Raw genomic sequence first — 21566 nt, 5'->3', positions numbered from 1 at the left:
AGAGCAGCCCCAGACAACAATTCCACTGTACTTCACTATTTTTATTGAGGCTCAGTAGGTTTTCTTAAATTTGTGTATCTTATTTATCATATAATATCATATAATACTTAAATGGTTATCTTTGAAAATTTGTCCATTTTGTCATTGCTTTTGGGGAAAAGAATTTGTCAATTTTTTCAATTTGCCATTCTATAAATCCTATATTATTTTTTAAAGCTGTTTCAGACTGATATTGTGTTTTTCTATATTGTTTCCTGGTATGAAATAGAAGTGTTCTTTGTAATTTATCAGTCATATTTAAATTCCAACCGTTGCGTACATTGTAGTATCTACGTTGGCCACAGCATTTTCTTTTATAACAAGATATATTTAATTTAATAAAAATATATTTAAGTTCATTTTTCCTCACACACTTTGTATATAGAAATATGCCCAAACTCCTTTGACTTAATTTCAAGGTAACCTCACAATTTCTTTGGCTAAAAATGTCCAATTTCTCTTAATCAAAAAACGCACAGAGGACATCTATATAAACAATATATATAAGACAATTCATCAGACTATCCAAATTTGGAGTGTTAAGATAAATATCACAGTTTTTCAATGAAAACTGGAATTTTTTTACTAGCCTCATCATTTTTCTAGTAAAATTTCTATCTTTGAAAAATGTAATATGAAGCTTGAGAGAAGTATGTCTTTAATAATCAAATGTATTAACATAACATTATTTTTTGCTAATATGGGTAGTGAGATATTATCTTATGATTCTATGGCATAAGTTTGTTATATACAAATAGGAGTATAGCACAGTTCTGCCTGGAACTCTAATTTCTTGACTGATAAAAGAAATCTCATCATAATCTCAAGAATTCTGGTTGCTACCTAATAAAGATTGATGTTACCCCATTATATTTGGTGTCACTCAAAATAGATTCACACTGACATTTTTTTTCTTGGCTTTATTTTTCCTTAACTAAAATTCTATGCCATTGTCAGAATTGGTAATGTTCAGATTTGCAGGAATTTGAGGTTAAAATGGTTTCAGTAAGTGACTGAGAATTTTACAACTAAAAATTTTGTTCAAGTTTAGTTTTCAAGTTTAATTGCCAAATTATTCAATCACCCAGTTATTCAGTCATCCAGTTCTTCATGCCATTTTTGATTATGTATAACTTTGGAAAACTAATAAATTGAAGAAAACTTTATATTTAAAATTAAATATGGAACTATCTGGTTCATTTGAGGACACATAAAATAATTGAAATCATTCTGGAAGGCATTTTGTCTTTAGAGCTTCCCTTTAAGCCTGCAGATAACAGTCTCTGCCTATTCTGAGGTTGTCTACACATGTTGACAACAGTCCAATTTTGCTACCATCTCCAGTAGACTTCTTAATTAGGCTGTCAATCCTGTCAATAATAGTTCACAGTTGTTTTAGAAGTGAGACTTTCAGTTTCTCAAAATTACTTCTTCAAAGATGAAAGAGGTTAATGTGCCTATGTTTTGCAAAGTATAATTCCAGATTTTTTCACATATTATATTTACTTATTTCAAATTGTCTTCTTAAAAATAGATTGTCTAACTGCAGAAACTGAGGGACAAGAAGTTAAATAAGCCATCTGAGGCCTAATAAATTTTCCAACTGGCATTTGAATTCATGCTTATCTGATTGCCAAACCCACATTATCCCTGTTTTCATGTTGCATTATAAGGATTAGTTGAGCTTCTACTGGATTTAAGTACGTATGGTGGACTTTCTAGGTTTCCCTGTGTAGATCTCCTAGTCCATCATTGAAATAAACATTCAGATTAAAAACGATTTGAACTTATTTGTCTACTCACCTTCAAAATATACATTTATAAAGCCTGTGGAACTTTATACCTTGCCAGATTAATTTTTAACAAAAGTTGGAACTATTTGTAATTATTTCAGAGTCGGATTACTCTGATTATTGTTTTATTCACTCACTTGTTTTCTTTGAAAACTGCTTGCCAGCAGTGATATGCCACCTTTATAAGTTTTTATTCTATTGCCTAGATTATATTGATAGTTACAACTTTTTCCCTGTTTGTCTGTATAGGCATATTACCCCAGGCATTCATTCTGGATTTAAAATTATAAGGATCTATAATTTTACACTAAATAAAAGATCATTCTAAAATAAATCTGTTTCCATTTGGAGTAGTAAAACCAAAGTCTTGTGTTTCAGCTTTACAATAAAATGCAGATTTCCCATTAAGTGGAACATCCTATCTTTCAAAAGGCTGAATAAGATAATATTTAGAAAGTCATTCCAGTCAGTTAATTAGGGCAGGGGGTGAAGTTCAATACAAAAATCCTGTTGGATGTATTGCATTTTTATTTGATTCTGAGCAGGATTCATTTTCACCTAATTTGCCAACATGTCGCTCATTATTTTACTCTTAGATAAACAAGTGACTAGAGGCATATTGAGCCAATTATTCTGATTCTGTTCCTGAATTGGCATTGATACAGTAGCTGAATGGAAATGGTCTCATGCTTGCTGACGCATTAATAGTGATCAAAATGAAAAAAAAACAAATCCTGTTATAGTCATACTTCTTTGTTTTTATGCTTTAGACTAATGTATTTGATCAGCTCCCTGCTACATGTTGTTTTTCCTTTTTGGAATCTAGGTAAGTAGGATGAAAGTAGATTCCAAAAAGGAAAAGCAATATAAAGTAGTTTCATATGAAACTCAGCATTGTAACTGTGAGTTATATTGGATGCTGAGTTTTGGCACAGATAGGACAAAAACTTTTTGGTGATTGTGCACTGGTTCTGTATTTCCACTAATAAATACACTTAATGCTTGGAACAACATTCTAACTTCAGCATATTGTGACTTCTTTTTTTGGTGACAGGAGGAAGTCTTCAGACTTGATATGTTCCATCAACAAGCCATATGCTCATGAGCTTTAATGGTCAAGTGCCTGATGATGACTCTCTTGTAGACAAAGGTTTAAAACTAAATTTTGACATTGAAGTTAAGAACTCAAGCCCAGGAGTAAGACAGACCTGGGTTTAGTCACAACTGTTCCACTTAGTAGATGTGTTAACTTGGACACATCACTTAAACTTCATATATGGTTTTTCATCGCTAAAAAAAGGATAATATTAGTCATTTGTATAGGGTTGTTGTGAGAATTAAATGAGATGATTCACAGTATATATCATCAAATGAATCTTCTTGTTTCCTCTGTTATATCATACTTTGCTTATAGTCATTTGAATCTTGTTTTGTTCTTGACATCAAACACCATTTTGATTCAATCAATCATGGGATTCAGCCCCCTCGTGATCAAGCAGCACTTTGAGTCTGTCCCAATTTTGTGTTCATTTTCCCTGAAAATGGGGCCCTGTGTTGCCTCCCAAGTATTCCTAGAGATCCCATTTCTACTTCTTTCCAACTTCTTAGGTGCTGTTCCCATAAGCGTTTCCCAATGCATGCAAATCATCATCTCAGAGTCAGCAGCCTGGGGAGATGACCTAAGACAATCCCCACCTTATAGCTTGAATCCCTACTGACTCTTTTATAATCATCATTTACCTGCTCAGAGCTATATTTATTCCTGACTTTTGTGGATCTTTAACAACAGATCTAGTGCTTCAGGACATCTATTAATTAATGCATCCATTACCAATCAATCCTAACATTTGTTCTAAATGATTTGTATGTACTGTTTCACTTAATCCTTATTATAATTCTATGAGGTGGGTGCTATTTTTTTCCCCTTTTCCAGATCAGAATGCTAAGGCAGAGGAGCCAGGATTTAAAATTTAATCTTCAGGCCTCTGACTTCAGAGGTGGTACTCTTCACCCCGCTCTATCTCTGTGACAACCAAGCTGACTGCCTCCTCAGTATTCCCACAGGTCTCCTATTTTCAGACTCTTTGAGTGTTTCCCATGTCTCCAGTTGAAAAACTCTCTGAAGTACCACTCCTAGGCTCCCCTGAAGAAACTGGCTGAGGCTGAGACTTTATCTCCCTTGGCTTCTTTACTCCCTTCATTCCACACCCTTATGGGTCTCTGCAGAGAGTTCTTGCTCAGTAAATCACTTGCACACAGTGCTCATCTCAGGCTCCACTTCTGGCAAACACAAACTAAGCACAAAGGGTTAATTACTAGAGAGAGATTTTGAGAGAAAGTAGAAGACCTCAGTGTGTGAATAGTGATGTTCTTTTTAACACGCGATAAACATCTCTACAGATGGAGGTGTTGAGGAAGCGTATGTGGGGCTTGTGGAAACTGACCAATAAAATGACACAGTGGGAGAAATCCAATAGAAACAACTATTTCTGAACGCTTGAGAATATGCACATGAGGTTGACTATCATATGTATAACAGAAGTTCATTCAATGAATTTCACAATATTCTTTCACTCTGCTCAATAGCTTGATGAACAGTTGCAACAGCAACAAAATCTCTCAGTAGGTAGTAGGCAGAGACTCAGCATGTAATTCACATTTTGAAGGCATAGAAATAGAAAACTTTTAAACCTAAACTATCTTAATGTTGATAAAATCCCATCACATGCTATACACTTTCTTATTTAATTTTCATTGAAGAAGCAAATAAAAGTGGAAGAAACTGAGGTATAGTCAAGAAATAGTGTATAAATTTGTTTGATTGAAAAGGTACTTTCAATACAGAAATACTGAGAAATGAAGGTAGGAAATGACACTTCTTCCCTGATTTCAGAGGAGTATAAATATCCAGTTAAGGAGTTTTGAATTCTCTTTGAGGTTTTACTAAATCTATTTTAGTTTGAAAGTGACAATGAAGAAAGAAGATTAATTGTGGGTCATATAGTTTTAAGGATATTAGGTTAAGTGAATTTTTCAGTAATTTCAATGGAAAATTATAAAGGCCTCTCCTATACTAATGCTACATGGGTAAAAAAAGACAAGCTATATTTTGAAGGAAAAGAACTATCAAATTAAACAAAAATTTCAATTAAATATATGCACACACTTAACAAACACTACTGAGCATCTCCTATAAACAAAATTCCATGATTATAATAAATGAGTAGGTATCTATTCTTGCTGTCTCAAGGATGTTGAAATCTAGTTGGATAAAGGAAGAAAGCTTACAAATGTAATTAAATATGTTTTCTTATTTTTAAGAGTTTTGCACTTTTACTAATCTTGCCTTTCCCTCTCTTTTCTCCTTCCACACCCTTATGGGACTCCCTAAGATCGCTTCTGTAATAGATAAGTTACAAACAAGTCATCTACTTCATCCCAGGCCCTGCTTCTGACAAACACAAGCTAAACTCAAAGTGTTAGTTGTTATAGAAGAATTTTGAGGGAAGGTAGAGGACCTGAATAGTGAAGAAAATATCAGATATCATATAATTTCGACCAGAATTTCAAGAAAATGGGAAAACATTTGTTTTAATCACACCTAAGATAAATTAGCAATAATGTATTTTTTTCTATTTTTATTTTTTATTTTATTTTGTTTCAAGTTTTATTTTAGATTCAAGGGATACGTGTGCAGGTTTCTTACATGGGTATATTGCAAAATGCTGAAATTTGAAGTACAAATGATCCCATCACCCAGGTACTGAGCGTAATACCCCACAGTTTTTCAACCCTTGCCCCTTCCTCTCGCCCCACCTCTAGTAGTCTCCAGTTTCTATTGTTGCCATTTTTATGTCCACGAGTACCTGATGTTTGGATCCCATTTCTAAGTGAGAACATGGTATTTGGTTTTCTGTTCCTGTGTTAATTCACATAGGATAATGGCCTCCAGCTGCATCCATGTTGCTGCAAAGAACATGATTTAGTTCTTGTTTACGGCTGTGTAGTATTCCATGGTATATATATATACCACATTTCCTTTATCCAATCCACCATTGATGGGCTCTTAGGTTGATTTCACATCTTTGTTCCTGTGAATGGTGCTGCAAAGAACATGACAGTGTGAATTTTTTTTGGTAGAACAATCTGTTTCCTTTTGGATGTATACCGCATAAAAGGATTGCAAGGTTGAAAGGTAGTTCTCTTTTATTTAAGAAATTTCCAAACTGCTTTCCACAGCGGCTAAACTAATTTACATTCCCACCAACAGTGTGTAACTTCTTCTTTTTCTCCACAGCCTTGCCAGAATCTGTTATCTTTTGACTTTTTATTAATAGCCATTCTGACTGGTGTGAGATGGTATCTCACTATGGTTTTGATTTGCATTTTTCTTATGATTAGTAATGTTGAATATTTTTTCATATGATTGTTGGCTGCTAGTATACCTTCTGTTGAGAAGTATCTGTTCATGGTTTTGCTCATTTTTTAACGGGGTGATTTGGTTTTTGCTTGTTGAGTTGTTTAAGGAACTTATACATTCTGGATATTAGATCTTTGTTGGATGCATAGTTTGTGAATATTTTCTCCAAATCTGTAGATTGTCTGTTTATTAATAGTTAGTTGGCTGTGTGGAAGCTCTTTAATTTAATTAGGTCTCACTTGTCAATTTTTGTTTTGTTCAATTGCTTCTGAGGACTTAGTCATAAATCCTTTCCTAAAGCTGAAGTCTAATATAGAGTTTCCAAGATTATCTTTCAATAGTGTTATAGTTTGAGGTTTCACATTTAAATCTTTAATCTATCTTGAGTAATGTTTGGATGTGGTAACAGGTAGGGGATCTACTTTCATTCTTCTGCATATGGCTAGCCAATTATCACAGCATCATTTATTGACTAGGGAGTGCCTTCCCCATTGCTTATTTTTATCGACTTTGTTGAAGATGAGATGGCTATAGATGTGCAGCTTTATTTCTGAGTTTTCTCTTCTGTTCCATTGGTCTGTTTGACTGATTTTGTATGTGTACCATGCTGTCTTGGTTACAGTAACCTAGTAGTATAGTTTGAAGTCAGGTGATGTGATTCCTCCAGCTTTGTTCTTTTTGTTTGGGATTGCTTTGGCTATTTAGGCTCTTTATTGGTTCAATGTGAATTTTAGAAAGGGTTTTATAATTCTTTGAAAAATAATATTGGTAGTTTGATAGAAATAGCATTGAATCCGTAGGTTGCTTTGGGCAGTATGGTCATTTTTATGATATTGACTCCTCCAGTCCATGAACATGGAATGTTTTTACATCTGTTCATGTCATCTATGATTTCTTTTAGTGGTGTTTTGTAGTTCTCTTTGTAGAGTTCTTTCACCTCCTGAGTTAGATGTTCCCTTGGGTATTTTATTTTATTATATTTTTGTTGCTATTTTAAATAGGATGTGTTGTTGATTTGGCTCTCAGCTTGAACATTATTAGTGTGTAGAAATACTACTGATTTTTATACATTGATTTTGTATCCTGAAACTTTACTGAAGTCAAAAATAATGTCTTAATATCAAATAACCACTCAAAATTCAAATATCTAATTGTCTCATGAGTATAAGTTTTTTTTCATCAATCTATGTGAAATCCACACATATAATTGTTTGATGTTTCCTTAAGTCTCTCTCATAAGCTCTGCCTAGTTTCTGTCTTTCTTGTGGTTTATTTATTGAAGATACTGGGTTGTTTGCCTTGTACATTTTCTGTGCTCTATATATTGTTGATTATATTCCTCTGCTGCAGAGTAATATGTTCCTCTGTGAATTGGTAGCTGTTTATAGAGGCTTGATGAGAATCTATTTTGTTTCTTCTTTTGTCAAGACTGCTTCAGTTGAAGGTTTTGCTGTTAGGAAGCACACAATGCCCAACTGTCTCTCATTTTTATATTAACAGTAGTTGATGATCAGTGCCAAGATTTAATAGTTCATACAAAAGTTGCAAAATGATTATTTCTAATTTTATGATATCTTCTTTATCAGATAAAAACATCTATAAGGAGAAAACTCCCTTCATCTAATGTTTAGTCTATCAATTGTATAGATAGTATCAAAACAGCAATATAAATGCTTGTTTTTTTATTACCAGTTTGAAAATAATGAGCATGTTTTGTAGTATTTCCCAGTGATGAATGATTTCTTTTTCTCATTTTGTTGTCATTATGAATTCGAGTATATAATCATATTTCATTTCTTTCATTCCATAACATTTATTGTTCTTATTAATGTTCAAATTGTCTCTTCTTTTGCCAAGGATGTCTTCTTCAAATTGACTCTCAAGTACTTTTTGATAACATGCTTAATTTATGATCTGATAAGATGTACCAGGTACATTTCCTGTCTTGGACCTGGAATCATCTATTTCTTCAAGAAGTCCTGTCTTTCTTCCCTGGGTCCATTTAACTTTTAAACCCTTTCTTGTGTTCTTTCCAATCTCCTCAAAATTAAAAATTTTCTCTTACATGTGACCAGTGACTCAGCACTTATAAAAACAGTGACTTTTCTTTGGTAATTCTTTAGAATATTTTAAATTATTTTTGAAATATCCTTTGAAACTTTTTTCCTTTGAAGTATTTTGGTATCTCTACCAGTGATACTTCTCTTTTCTTTTTTTTCATTTTATTCTTTCTGTTACCTTTTTTTTCCTGTTATAATAAGCATAATTAACATATATACATAAACATATGGGAGATATATATATATATATATATATACACAAAAATGCACATATGTTTATGGGAATATATATATTTATATATATAAATATATGTTTATGGGAATATATATATTTATATATAAATATATATTTATGGGAATATATATATTTATATATATAAATATATGTTTATGGGAATATATATATTTATATATATAAATATATGTTTATGGGAATATATATATATTTATACCCTAAAATAAATCTATCATCTATCTCTATATATATGTAATATATTTAAGAAATCAAGATATGTATATGCTATATATAAGAAATATATACAGAATGATTTATTTTAGGGTATATATATATATATATATCTTGATTTATTTTATGGTATATCCTTTAGGGTATATACCTTTTAGGTGTATATAAATATATATATATATTTATAAAATATATATATATATATATATATATATTTATAAAATATATATAAATATGTATATACCCAAAATATATGTATATATTTATATACACCTAAGAAATATAATAGTAATTGTAATTGTTGGCATATCTGTGTATTGAAGGGAGGGCTCATCCCTATGAATCATTCCTTCCACAAATATATATTGAGAGGATATTATATGACAGATGCTATTAGGTGCTATGAAAAAGTGAATAAAACAGGCAAAGTCTGTGTTCAAGCATCAGGAGATAGAGGATAAACAAAATCTATAAATAAATGCCAACACATGTGCCTCAACTTCCATATGAGCTATACAGAAAATTATAATTGGAGAAAGATTTCCAGTGCCCACAAGGACTGCCACTTTACAGAGCAAGCTCTGAAGTCCTCTCTGAAAAGCTTACACTTTACCAAAGTCTTGGAGAGGTGTGGGGATCCAGGTATGACCTTCTGAAAAACAGCCTGCCAGGAGATGGAGCAACAGGTGCAAAGGCCCCAAGAAGGATGTATGCCTAACATGTTTGGAAAATAGGGAGGAGTCACCTGTGGCTGGAGAGAAATGAACACAGGGAAGGTGAAAATAGACAAGGTCAGAACAGTAGGGAGTGGGAGAAGGAGAACAGAGAGAACTTTATAAACTGTAAGAACTTTGGCTTTCACTAATGAGAACAATTTGAGGTTGTTGAGCAGAGGAGTGATGGAATGTAACTTAACAAATTGAAGGGATCTCTTGGGCTCACATGTGGCAGATATATTGTGAAGAGGTAAGAGGAGTAGCCTGCGGAGTTTTTAGGAGGCTATTTCCATAATCTCAGCCACAAACCAGAGCATTAGCAGTGCTGGTGGCAGGAAGGGGATGCATTTGCCTAACTGAGAATCTATTTCCTGCCAACACCAGCATCTTGCACATTGCCCTAATGTGCCAGGGGGAGCCAATTGCACTGTGTCCAGGAGGTGCTGAATTTTAGATAGATTTTATTCTTTCAAATTAACCCATTCTTGCCTCTTTGAGCAAGTTGTATTCTAATGAATGCAAACTCATCCACCTTGGTCAGCTTTTTGTGGGGTACCACCTTGATCCACTCTTTCACATGACTTTTCCCATGAGCGGTTGCAGTCCACAGGCATTCCTCCTTCCTGCTGCAGGCCCTATGTCCTACATGATGGTCAACCAGTCATCTTCTATTTCATATCTATACTCAAGATTCTCAATTCATCCTTCCTCCCGAAATCCCAGCTCATCTTATATGTCACATCTATACTAAAGATTCGTGCTTCCTCTCCAAATCTCTTAACACCTAGCCCTTCTCTTCACATCTTATTCTTCCTATTTCATATGGGTACTTGCCAAATTACTCTGTCATTTATGTAATAATCTCATTCTGGACTTCAGACAAAGTGGTTCAGAATCACAAAAAAGTTCATGAGTAAAGGTCAAATTGTATCATGAATATCAGGGTCCTATGATGACTGTTTATTATTCAGTCCCCTTGACTTTTGTTTAAGAGACCTGGAGTTGAACCAGTTTGGCAGGAATTCTAAGAAGTAATTACCTGAAGGGAAACAGCAAGCGAATGTAAACACAGGATTTCTGCCCTCAGATGATTACTAACAAGACATAAAAACACTTATTTCTACCCAGGAAGGAATCCCTCCAATTCAGAGTAACAAGAAAAAAAAATAAGAAAAAGACTAAATTTAGGAGTTTTTATGAATACTTTTAATCTGAAGTCAGTTACCAGATGTATTAGTCCATTCTCATGCTGGTATGAAGAAATACCCAAGACTGGGTAATTATAAAGGAAAGAGGTTTAATTGACTCACAGTTCAGTATGCCTGGGGAGGCCTCAGGAATCTTACAATCATGGTGGAAGGCACCTCTTTACAGGGTGGCAGGAGAGAGAATGAGTGCAGAGTGAAGGAGGAAGCCCCTTATAAAACCATCAGATCTCGTGAGAACTCACTCACTATCATGAGAAGAGCATGTGTGGAACCTCCCTATAATTCAATCATCTCCACCTGGTTCTGCCTTTGATACATGCAGATTATTACAATTCAAGGTGATATTTTAGTGGGGACACAGCAAAACCATATCATTCCACCCTTGACCCCCCCCATATCTCATGTGCTCACATTTCAAAACATAATCATGCCCTTCCAACAGTCCCCTAATGTCTTAGCTAATTCCAGCATTAACCCAAAAGTCCAAGTCCAAAGTCTCATTTGAGAATAGAAAATTTCCTTCCACCTATGAGTTTGTAAAATTGGAAGCAAATTAGTTACTTCCTTAATACAATGACAGTACAGGCATTGAGTAAATACACCCATTCCAAATGGGAGGAATTGTCCAAAACAAAGGGTCTACAGCCCCCACACAAGTCTGAAATCCAGTAGGGCAGTCATTAAACCTTAAAGCTCCAAAATGACCTCCTTTGACTCCAGCTTTCACATCCAGGTCACACTGATGCAAGAGGTGGGCTCCCAGCAGTTTGGACTGCTACACACCTGTGGCTTTGCAAGGTATAGCCCCTCTCCAAGCTGCTTTCACAGGCTGGCATTGAGTGCCTGCAGCTTTTCCAGGCACACAGTGCAAGCTGTCGGGGGATCTACCATTCTTAGGTCTGGAAGACGGTAGCCCTCTTCTCACAGCTTCACTAGGCAGTGCCCCAGTGTGGACTCTGTGTAGGGACTCCAACCCCACATTTCCCTCCTGCACTGCCCTAGCACAGTTTCTCCATGAGGGGTCTGCCTCTGCAGCAAACTTCTGCTTGGACATAGAAGTGTTTCCATACATCCTCTGAAATCTAGGCAGAGGTCCCAAACCTCAGTTCTTGACTTCTGTGCACCCACAGGCCCAACACCATGTGTAAGCCACCAAGGTGTGGGGCTTGCACCCTCTGAAACAATGGCCTGAGCTTTACTTTGGCCACTTGAGCCACAGCTGGAGCTGAAACAGCTGATACACAGGGCACCATGTCCCAAGGCTGCATAGAGCAGGGGGGACCCTGGGAAGTGAAACCATTTTTTCCTCCTAGGCCTCTGTGCCTGTTATGACAGGGGCTGCCATGAAGGTCTCTGACATGGCTTGCAGGCATTTTCCCCATTCTCTTGGTGATTAACATTCAGCTCCTAGTTACTTATGTAAATTTCTGCAGCCAGCTTGAATTTCTCCCCAAAAAAATGGGTTCTGTTTTTCTACTGCATCGGTAGGCTGAAAATTTTCCAAACTCTTATAATCCGCTTTCTCTTGAACACTTTGCTGCTTAGAAATTGCTTCCATCAGTTGCCCTAAATCATCTCTCTCAAGTTCATAGTTCCACAGATCTCTAGGGCAGGGGCAAATTGCTTCCAGTCTATTTGCTAAAGTATAGCAAGGGTCAAGAGTCACCTTTATTCCAGTTCTCAACAAGTTCCTCATTTCCACTTGAGACTACCTCAGCCTGCACTTCATTGTCCATATCACTGTCAGCTTTTTGGTCAAAGCCGTTCAATAAATCTTTAGAAAGTTCCAAACTTTTTCACATCTTTCTGTCTTCTTCTGAGCCCTCCAAACTGTTTCAACCTCTTCCTGTTACTCAGTTCCAAAGTTGCTTCCAGATTTTTGTGTATCTTTACAGCAGTGGCCCAGTACCCAGTGCCAATTTTTTGTATTTGCCTGTTTTCACACTGCTATGAATAAATATGTAAGGCTGGGTAATTTATAAAGAAAAGAGGTTTAATTGACTCACAGTTCTTCATGGCTGGGGAGGCCTCAGGAAACTTACAATCATGCTGCAAGTGGAAGCAAACACACCCTTCTTCACATGATGGCAGGAGAGAGAACTGTAGAGTGAAGGGAGAAACACATTTTTAAACCATCAGATCTCCTGAGAACTCACTCACTATCACAAGAACAGCATGGAGGTAACCACATCCATGATTCAGTTATCTCCACCTGGTCCTTACCTTGACATGTGGGGATTATTACAATTCAAGGTGAGATTTGGGTGGAGACACAAAGCCAAACCATGTCACCAGACATCTTTTTTAAAAGCCCATAAACTGGTAATAAAACAAGTCACACATATACACACATATAATCATACACATTCAAGTATGTTATATGAAGTATTGTCATTGAAAAGCTCATACTCAAGAGTTTAAGTTAGCTGACAGTGATAAGCTAATTCTATCCCTAATTAGGCACAATAAAAGTAAGGCCTTGCATATACTTTGTCTGTCTTAAGCTCATGTCTGAAGTCCATAGATCTAGAAAGTTGATTCACTTAAATTTAGAAAATCTCATATCCCTACTCATTTTATCTTTCCATTTTTTTTTTCTAACTACCAATATACAGGATGGGAAAGAATGCTAACCTGGTCTGGGTAAGGGAAGGGAGAGGAAAGATGATGCAGGTTACTGAGACAGATTATGTATATAGAATGATAGAGCACCCAGCTCTTTTGGGTACAAAATGTCACCCATCCCAACCTGGTATTATTCAGTCTGCCTCCTGTGTTATTGTCCTTTATATTATTTTTTTAATAAAGTGGACATCTGATGTAATCTGAGCACCATTTCCTCATTCTTCCAAAGAGGGTATTCTGCAGTTTGGAGAACTGGCTATGGTCCAGAGAAATGGCTGAGGATGAAGCTGCAGCAGAACAGCAGTGCCACACAATTTGGGGTGGGTCCCTGATCCATGAGACTTTCAAGATAACCACAGTGTTCTGTTCTCAAGTATTAGATTATTACCTGACCTGCACATCTGCAAAGTCATGATGGCCGGTGTACCTTGCTGCACTTCTGACACAGTTTATTGACTCTTCTGTATAGTACAAAATAGTTAACATGTGTTTGGTCAAGGTGACAGCTACTCAATCAAAACTGGCTTAAGGCCGGGCATAGTGGCTCATGCCTTTAATCCCAGCACTTTGGGAGGCCAAAACAGGTGGATCTCTTCAGCTCAAGAGTTCCAGACCAGCCATGGGCAACATGATGAAACCCCATCTCCACTAAAAATACAAAAATTAGCTGAGCATAGTGGTACACGCCTGTAGTGTCAGTAACTTGGGAGGCTGAGGCAGGAGGATTACTTGAGCCCAGGAGGTGAAGGTTGCAGTGAGCCGAGATCATGCCACTGTACACCAGCCTGGGTGATAAAGTGAAACCCTGTCTCAAAAAAAAAAAAAAAAGACTGGCTTAAGAAGGAGAAACATATTAAGGGGAACTCTTGGATTCAGAAATCAATTAATCCAATAATTCGAACAATTTTAGAGATTTTCTTTCATCTTTCCCCTGCTCCTTTTCACATATCTCCCTATGTGGCCCCTTCCCCTGTAGAACATCTTCAATGCTGGTTATGAAGTAGGAAGTATGGCTATGGATCACTCTTTCAGTACCCAAGGAATTAGTTCCCCAGCTCTGTTGGGTTCAAGGGCAGAAACCTTGGGAAAGAGTCCCGCTGGTTCAACTGGGGATTGGTTCCTACCACTGAATCAGCCATTTCAGGTAGCTCAGTATTGTTGGTGGCTAGAATAATCTTATTATCAGCCAAGTTTGAGCCATGTGTCTTCCTGGAAAACCAATCAACTCTGCTCAGGAAAAAAAGATTAGGTTGTAATATGGCTGCTTCTGTGGCAATAATAAGAATGGATAGGAGAAATGTAAATCTTAGAAAAAGAGAAGCTGGGGGCATACTAAACTACACGCATATGTTGTGTATCTTTCCCTCGTGTCCGTCTCCTTTTCCCTTTTTCACATTACATATTATAAACCCCCAGCATTTCTTTCTAGATGCACAATTGTCAGTGCAGCCTCCCCACACTTACCCATGCTGCTGACCTAAGTAACTGGAAATTACCATCTACAGAAAATATTAAGATAATTTGATGCCATAGGTAATACAACTTGTAATTTCCTCTTAGTACATATAAAAAAGAAATAAATATACTGCCAGAATTTTTATTATTGAAACTTTGTAAAAATTAAAAGAAATAATTTTCAACTCAATAATAATTGTTTTTTGTAGAGAGTCAAGCGATAGACAAATAGGATTCCTTTTCAGAAAAATAAATAAAATAAGGACTATAAAGATTAAATTATGATTTTTATTACTATTAGATGTATGTACTAAAATGCATGTCAGTATTCTTTAGCATTTCAGCATCAAATGAATGTATCTATCTGCAAATATTAGTTTTCTAATCCCTTGGAAGATGACATTATTGAAAGTTCTTTTTTAATGTAGATTCTACCCCAAAACAATTTTATAGTGCTAAGTAGCCAATGTGTCAAACTGGATACTAAAATATATGTAATGTGAATGGAGGCAAGAAATGGGAGTAGGTAAAGATGAGAAAGAAGCACAAAAATTTATACGTGATTGGAAAAGGAATTGATAGCTGGCAAAGTGAGAGTGGTGGAAAGCTAACCCTCCATCAGTAAGAAATTGTTGCAAAACTGCTTTCTCTGTATAGCACTCTCTTCATGCAGTCTTGGGGCAGCTCTTAGTAGCAATATATGTGCGTTTCAATCTGGCTATCAGCACAGTTATTATTGTCTCATTCGTGCCAAAAACTGGCTCTGGTGTGTTAATTGGTTTGAGATTGAAATGGTTTTGTGTTTAAAAACCCATTTCCAGCAAGGAGGAACATCCAGTTTTCCTATTCTCATGGAGATAAAACATGCTTACTGGAGATGGAGCATTAAATTTTGCAAAACTCAGTCTAGGGTTGGTGACTACATGTCACCTTGGGGCAGGCCTTTACTTCCAAGAAACATTAATAAATTGCTTCCCCATGGTCTGCTTAATTAAGAAAATCTAAAGCTTACTAGCATCAGTTGCTGTGGGGAAAAGGTGTAATGAAAGGTTTTATGAACTAGAACAAGCAGTTTGAATTCCCCCTTGATTGGCAGAGCTGGTCCCTGAGAAGGAGACAGACCAATTTGTATGTATAGGGGAATGACAGAACACAAAACCAGAAATGGGAGGGGAGAAATCCAGATTGATTCGGGCCTAGAACAAGGCCTACTTGTTCATGGAAGAGGCTGGATATTGCCCCTATGTGGCTGACGGGGAGTCCTTTTGAAGATAGGCACCCTGGTACCATAGGTGGGTTTGAGGTTTGTTGGAGGTGATGGTTAATTTTATGTGTCTACATGACTAGGTTTGGGGATACCCAAGTAGCTGGTAAAACTTTAGGTGTGTGTCTGTGAGGGTGTTTCCAGAAGAGATAATTAATTGAATTAGTAGAATGAATAAGGAAGATTCATGGTCGCTGTTATGGGTATTAACCAATCTGTTGAGACCCTGGACAGAACAAGAACAAAAAAAGAAGAGCTAATTTTCTTTCTCCTTGAGCTGGGAAATTTGTCTTCTCTTCCACTTAGACATTGGAGTTCCTGATTCTCAGGTCTTTGGATGCTGGGGCTTACACCAGAGCTGCCTACCTCACCCCCACTCCTATGTTGCCCCCGCCCCGACCCCAGGGTCTCAGGATTTTAAACTCTGACTGAATTACACTACAGGCTTTCCTGATTCTCAAGCTGACAGATGGCAGATTGTGAGATTTTCAGGCCTCTAGAGTTGTATGAGTCCATTTCCATAATAAATCTCCTCTTTCTTTCTCTCTCTTTAGTGTATAACATATATTTATATATGATATATAATATAAATATATTTCATAATTATATATAATATATATAATTGCTTCTGTTTCTCTAGATAACCCTGACTAGTTAAGTGAACAACATATGTGTATCAATATACAGACCGCAACTGAAGGGGTGGATTAGGGAATTTGAGTTGGTATATGAGACACTTCTAAAAATCCATGCAGTGGCCAGGCACAGTGGCTCATACCTATAACCACCGCACTTTGGAAGGCTGAGGCATAAGGATCACTTGAGCACAGGATTTCCAGACCAGGCTTGGCAACATAGCAAGACATAGCCTCTACAAAAAAATAAAAAATAAGTCAGATGTGATGGCTCATGCTTGGAGTCCCAGCTACTTGGGAGGCTGAGTAGGAGGATTGCTTAAGCCCAGGAGGTCGAGTCTGCAGTAAGCCATGTTCTTGTCTCTGCACTCTGGCAGAGCGAGACCCTGTATCTAAAATAACAATAATAATAATACTTGTACTACCTGTATTATGCATGGATTGATTCTTAATTTTCAAATAATCAGAGGTTATTGAGAAAAATAGAGACTTCATAGTAATAGATTGAGACTTAAACACTGTTCTCCCTCTTATAAACTAATGGCAATTTGACAAATCACTTAAACTTTCTGAATTAACCTAGTGCAAGTTTACTGTGAAGACTGAATCCACTGCCAAAGGATCACATATGCATCTCAATTAAAGTACTTAGTATGGTGGATTGTGTATTCTTGTTTCCTGGTCTGTAGGTCTGTACTCTGTATGTAAATAGTCTTACTTAATTTGTCTTTGAGCTCCAGTGCATCATAGTCTCTAAATATTGCCTGTTGAGTAAATGAAAGTACCTTCCCAATAGCAAAGAGGGCCATTCATCCTTAATATACAAATTTAATTAAATCATGATCAGTTTATTAGCTGGTGGTTAGAGATGTGGTTGTCAATACGGCTGAGCCTCAGGGCATCATTAAGAACATTCAATATGTCTGTACTATTGACACTTGGTTGCACTAGATAATAAGAACTGTACAAGATAGCATGATAGATGAACCAAGTTTTATAATTTATTTTACAAAGGAAGCACACCTTAATTTGTTTGCTTTGAGGGAAAAATGAACACTTTATGAACACATTATGAAAAACCAGAGTTCAAAGATGTAGTGTTACTCTTGTGAAAAAATATTCTCGGGGGTGATAAGGGGCATTTGGCACTGCCAGCCCAGTACAAGTGCTTCTCACTCCTGCTCCGTGAAAAAATATTCTCAAGCACTGCTTTTAAAACTTAATGTATATCAGAATTATTTATTGAACATAGAAGTATCAAAGATAATGTATTGATCAAAAAAATTTCCTCCTCTCCCAAACTTCTCATCTGTGTCCATGATACTATCATTCTTAGCAGCACTCAAGACCTTCTGTTTTCTGAAATACTCATCTTTCTTCCATTTCCTCAAATCTATTTATGTTTATCTTCAGTTGGATAGGCCTACTTTCAGCTTTTTGTTATGTAAGCTAACACAAGTTAAGTGTAAGTTGTTTTAATTTCTTTCCTCCTTTATTTTTTCTTCCCTACTTGTCTTGCTCTTTTCTTCTTCCCCCCTCCCTCCCTCCCTTCTTCCCTTCCTTCCTTCCCTCCTTCCTTCCTCCCTTTCTTTCTCCCTTCCTTCCTTCCTCCTTCCTTCCTCTTTCCTTTATTATTTCTTTTCTTCCTTCCTCTCTTGAAGCTGAAAGCATCCAAAATTACTTTACTTTCAATAATTTTGTATAAGTCAACACACATTATCAAGTTCTTTCCCTAAGCCTCCATGTAATATTAATAATTCTGGGAACACAAAGAAGTAAAAAGATTTCTTGCCTTACCATGTTAATCTTTCTTTTATATCACCAAGACCAACTTTTTTTTTCTTTTGAGACAGGATCTTGCTCTGTCACTCAGGCTAGAGTGCAGTGGCATGAACTTCGCTCACTGCAGCCTCAATGTCCTCGGTTCAAGTGATCCTAATGCCTCAGCCTCCCAAGTAGCGGGGACTACAGGCACATAGCACCATGCCTGGTTATTTTATTCTATCTTTTTGTAGAGACAGGGTCTCCCTAGGTTGCTCAGGCTGGTCACAAACTCCTGGTCTCAAGCATTCCTCTTGCTTCAGCTTCGCAAAGCACTGGGATTACAGACATGAGCCATCGCAACAGACTGCCAAAGACCAACTTTTGCCTTTAATGAGTTTTGTGAGTTTGTGTGTGTATAGGATGACTCTTTTTTGATTCGTTTTCACTTCATAGCAATCCTAGAAAGTCTACTAGGTCTAGTGAATTGTATTCCATTTTAAAGATAAGGAGCCCAAGGCCAAGATGCTTTAAGGCTACAGTAATGGCAGATTTGGAAGTGATGCCAAAACACATCGTCTTCCACCATGTCAACACTTAAGGAGTTGGATGTTAGGTCACTTGACATAAAACACAAAACTCAGAATAGATGTATTTTTTTTTAAGAGACGGGGTCTTGCTTTGTCACCTAGGCTGGAGTTCAAGTTGTATGATCATAGCTCATTGCAACCTCACCCTCCTGGGCTCAAGTAATCCTCTGGCCTCATCCTCTCATCCTGCCAAATAACTGGGACTACAGATGTATGCCACCATGCAGGATGAATTTTCTTTTTTAATTTTTATTGTCTGTAGGGATCAGATCTCACTTTGATACCTAGGCTGGTGTTGAACTCCCAGATTCAAGCTATCCTCCTGCCTCGTTCTCCAAAAGTGCTGGGATTACATGCATGAACCACTGCACCTGACTGTTTTGTTTTGAGGTTTTCATTTTTATTTATTTTTATTTATTATTTTTTTAGCAATATCTAGCAGTTGGTCATCATTATTGTTACTGTTCTAGGATCCTTGGGGTGAGGCTTTTCCAGATGGAAACCCCCGTGGCCAGTGGTGCCTTTACTTAAGTTTTGCTCAGGTCTGCTGTGCTTGTTCCGCCCACTCAACCTGGCGGTCTATGTTTGGCTCATGCTACTGGCCTGGATCCCATACCTGTCAGGGGTGAGCAGAGTGGTGAGGGGTGTGTGAAAAGTGAGTGTGGGGTCTGGCCATTGCACACAGCCAGGCACACTGGCTGTGGGAGGACAGGAAGCTCCAGGCACTGGCCCAGGTGCTGGCTCCCTGTGAGGCTGTGGCTGGACCGGGCATACCACAAGCAGCTTCCACGGCTGGCATCAGGGAACACAGTGATGCCAGGAACCACAGAGCCCCAAAGAGGGTGTTACAACCCTGGCTTGGGGAGCTCCTAGGTCTGGGCTCCCCAAAGGGCTTCAGCTCTTCTCTCCTTTTTCCTTCTCTCCTTCTTGTCACCCACAACATGATGAACAAGGAGCATGTTTCAGCCCTGTTTGTGTTATAGCTCTTTTAGCCCTGCCATTCAGTGGGTCCCAAATTCTTGTCCTGTTTCCAGGAATAATGAGGTATGCAGACAAGTGAAGGGTGAGCAAGGCAAAGAGAAACTTTACTGAGCAACAGAACAGCTCAGAGGAGACCTACATTGGGCAGCTCCTCTCTGCAGGCAGAGTGTCCTGATGAGTGTTCAGCTCTCAGAAGAGAGGAGACCTTGGAGTACATAGCTCCTCTCCACAGCCGGTGGTCCCAACATCTGCTCAGCTCTCAGCAGAGAGGAGATGCTGGATTGGGTAGCTCCTCTCTGCAGCTGGTTGTCTTGGTCGTCTCTTTTTGAGTCTGGCTGAGTTCAGGGTTTTTATGAGCTTCAGAGGAGAGGAAATATGTGCTGATTGGTCCATCGGTGGCCATGGGTGGGCCTGGAAAAATCACCCTAAGTTTCCATTCCAGTTTGTGGTAGTGGCAACCCAGCCCCCAGGTTTCAGTCCTTGAAGGTGGGGCTTCACAAGAGACCTGCCCTTTTCTGCCCAGGAGCCTGTCTGCCTCTTGCCACTGTTCATGGTGCCCAGGCTATTCATGCTGAGGAGCACTTGCAGGCCAGCACCAAACTGTCCTCAGCCCTGCCTTGACCTTCCTCCTGTACTGCTCAGTGCCCAAAGTCTGGAGCAGACTGAGACAGCAGGGCTGGCATGTCAGCATTGCCCCAAGCATGTACACGCTCAGCTAGGTTGCAACAGCACCTGGGCTCAATCTTAACTCTGCTCTGAGATTGAAGCAGGAGCTGGGAGAAGGAGAGGCCAGGAAGAAGGAGCAAGACACTTCTAAGCCTGCAGGGGTCAGGGGTGTGTGTTTCCCAGACCCCTGAGAGTGCAGTGATGCCAGGGTCTGCAGTTGTGGCTTGGACAGCTGCAGCTATGCCTGGGAGGGAGGGGCTCCTGCCCACTCCTCACCCCCAAGAGCACAGGGATGCCCAGGTTCACAGCCATGGCTGTGCAGCTGCTGCTGCACCTGGGGAGTGCAAGGCTCCCCACTTCAGTAGGGGCGGGGCTTCCACCTGGTCCTAGGTCCTGCTGGCTTTTTGGATTGTGCAGCCCCAGCTGCACCTTTGCCAGTGCAGCTGGTGTCATGGCAGCGGCTGCTCCAGATGGGCCACCACTGCTATCATTACCGCAACCCTTACTAAGTGATATGGTTTGGCTGTGTCCCCACCCAAATTTCACCTTGAATTGTAATAATCCCCACATGTCAAGGGCAGGGACAGGTGGAGATAATCGAATCATCAGGGTGGTTTTCCCCATACGGTTCTTGTGGTAGAGAATAAGTCTCACAAAGTCTGATGGTTTTATAAATGGGAGTTCCCCTGCAGAAGCTCTCTCTTGCCTACTGCCATGTAAGACAAGTCTTACTTCCCCTTCAATTTCCACCATGATTGTGAGGCCTTCCTAGTCATGTGGAATTGTGAGTCAATTAAACCTCCTGCCTTTATAAATCACCCAGTCTCAGGTATGTCTTTATTAGCAGCGTAAGAACAGACTAATACACAAAGCTTCCACTTTTCTAG

At 38.2% G+C, this 21566-nt stretch overlaps 2 annotated features.

The window, feature by feature from the left end:
* Positions 5509-5744: a silencer, noted in NCBI's record as "fragment chr14:86845197-86845432 (GRCh37/hg19 assembly coordinates)". NCBI's record gives its function as "represses an EF-1alpha promoter that drives an FKBP-Casp9 reporter gene in an ReSE screen in K562 erythroleukemia cells {active_cell/tissue: K562}" and the evidence as "EXISTENCE:reporter gene assay evidence [ECO:0000049][PMID:32094911]".
* Positions 20468-20968: an enhancer, noted in NCBI's record as "H3K4me1 hESC enhancer chr14:86829973-86830473 (GRCh37/hg19 assembly coordinates)". NCBI's record gives its function as "activates a minimal SCP1, AML or CMV promoter by ChIP-STARR-seq in primed H9 embryonic stem cells {active_cell/tissue: H9 hESC(primed)}" and the evidence as "EXISTENCE:reporter gene assay evidence [ECO:0000049][PMID:30033119]".

Source organism: Homo sapiens, chromosome 14, assembly GCF_000001405.40.
Source record: "Homo sapiens chromosome 14, GRCh38.p14 Primary Assembly".
In the NCBI taxonomy this organism is placed as follows: domain Eukaryota; kingdom Metazoa; phylum Chordata; class Mammalia; order Primates; family Hominidae; genus Homo; species Homo sapiens.
The sequence above is the reverse complement of the archived record's forward strand: the minus strand, read 5'-3'. Positions and strand labels throughout refer to the sequence as shown.